Consider the following 1,160-nt stretch of genomic DNA (forward strand, 5'->3'; position numbering starts at 1 on the left):
AAAATCTTGTCTTCAAACAACATAGTAGATCAATTAGCTATTTTGGTCAACAACGTTAAAAAAAGATCCAAATTATGTAGAAAACGAGAGGAATTAAAACCAACAGTCAGATCAATGGAAAAAGGCACAGAGTCTTTCATACTTTGATATTGACCCAAACAGGAATACAAGATTAGTATTTTTATTAATTATTTAGCTAATGCTGAATAAGAAATACATATGATATAAAATCCCAAACAGTACCAAGAGGTTTGAAATGAAAATTCTCCCTCATACTCTGTATAAGTTGGTTCTTGCACTGCTATAAAGAAATACCTGAGCCTGGGTAATTTATAAAGAAAAGAGGTTTAATTGGCTCACAGTTCTGCAGGCTGTACAGGAAGCATTGTGGCCTCTGCTTCTGGAGAGGCCGCAGGAAGTTTCCAATCATGGCAGAAGGCAAAGGAGGTACAAGGCACGTTACATGGCTGGAGCAGAAGGAAGACAGAATGGGGAGGTGCTACATACTTTTAAACAACCAGATCTTTTGAGAACTCACTATCACAGGAACAGCACCAAGTGGATGGTGCTAAACTATTCATGAGAAAACTGCCCCCATGATCAAATCACCCCCCAACCAGGCCCCACCTCCAACACTGGGAATTACAACTGAATATGAAATTGGGGTGGGAACATAGATCCTAACCCTATTACATCCCAACTCCTGCCTTTTAGATCTCCCTCCTAGAGGCAATTACGAATTTCTTGTGTCTTCTTCCAAAGATATATCATGAATATAGAATCATATGTTAAAGCATAGTATCTTGATACTTTATATCCTACTTTGATACTTTCTTTACAAATGTCAAGTTTATAACTATTGTCATACATGGTAAATTATCCAAAGATATGCGATATTCTAAAACCATGTCAATTCATTTTTCTAAATAATGTAATAATTCTTTTCCAGGTAAGCAGATCTCATTTTAAATTTAAGTAAACATTTAAGAACTTACAGGAGTACATGACCTAATGTGTTTTGTAAATACCATAAGAGCCTGAATGAGACTCACTCATCAATGGTTCTGCCATTATCTCAAATTTCTGATTCATTGTTCTGCACATTTCTCGTTCTAGTCTAGTTAAACAGAACCTCTTACTATGCCTGTTATTCTCTTTTC

Source organism: Homo sapiens, chromosome 5 (genome assembly GCF_000001405.40).
Source record: "Homo sapiens chromosome 5, GRCh38.p14 Primary Assembly".
Lineage (NCBI taxonomy): Eukaryota > Metazoa > Chordata > Mammalia > Primates > Hominidae > Homo > Homo sapiens.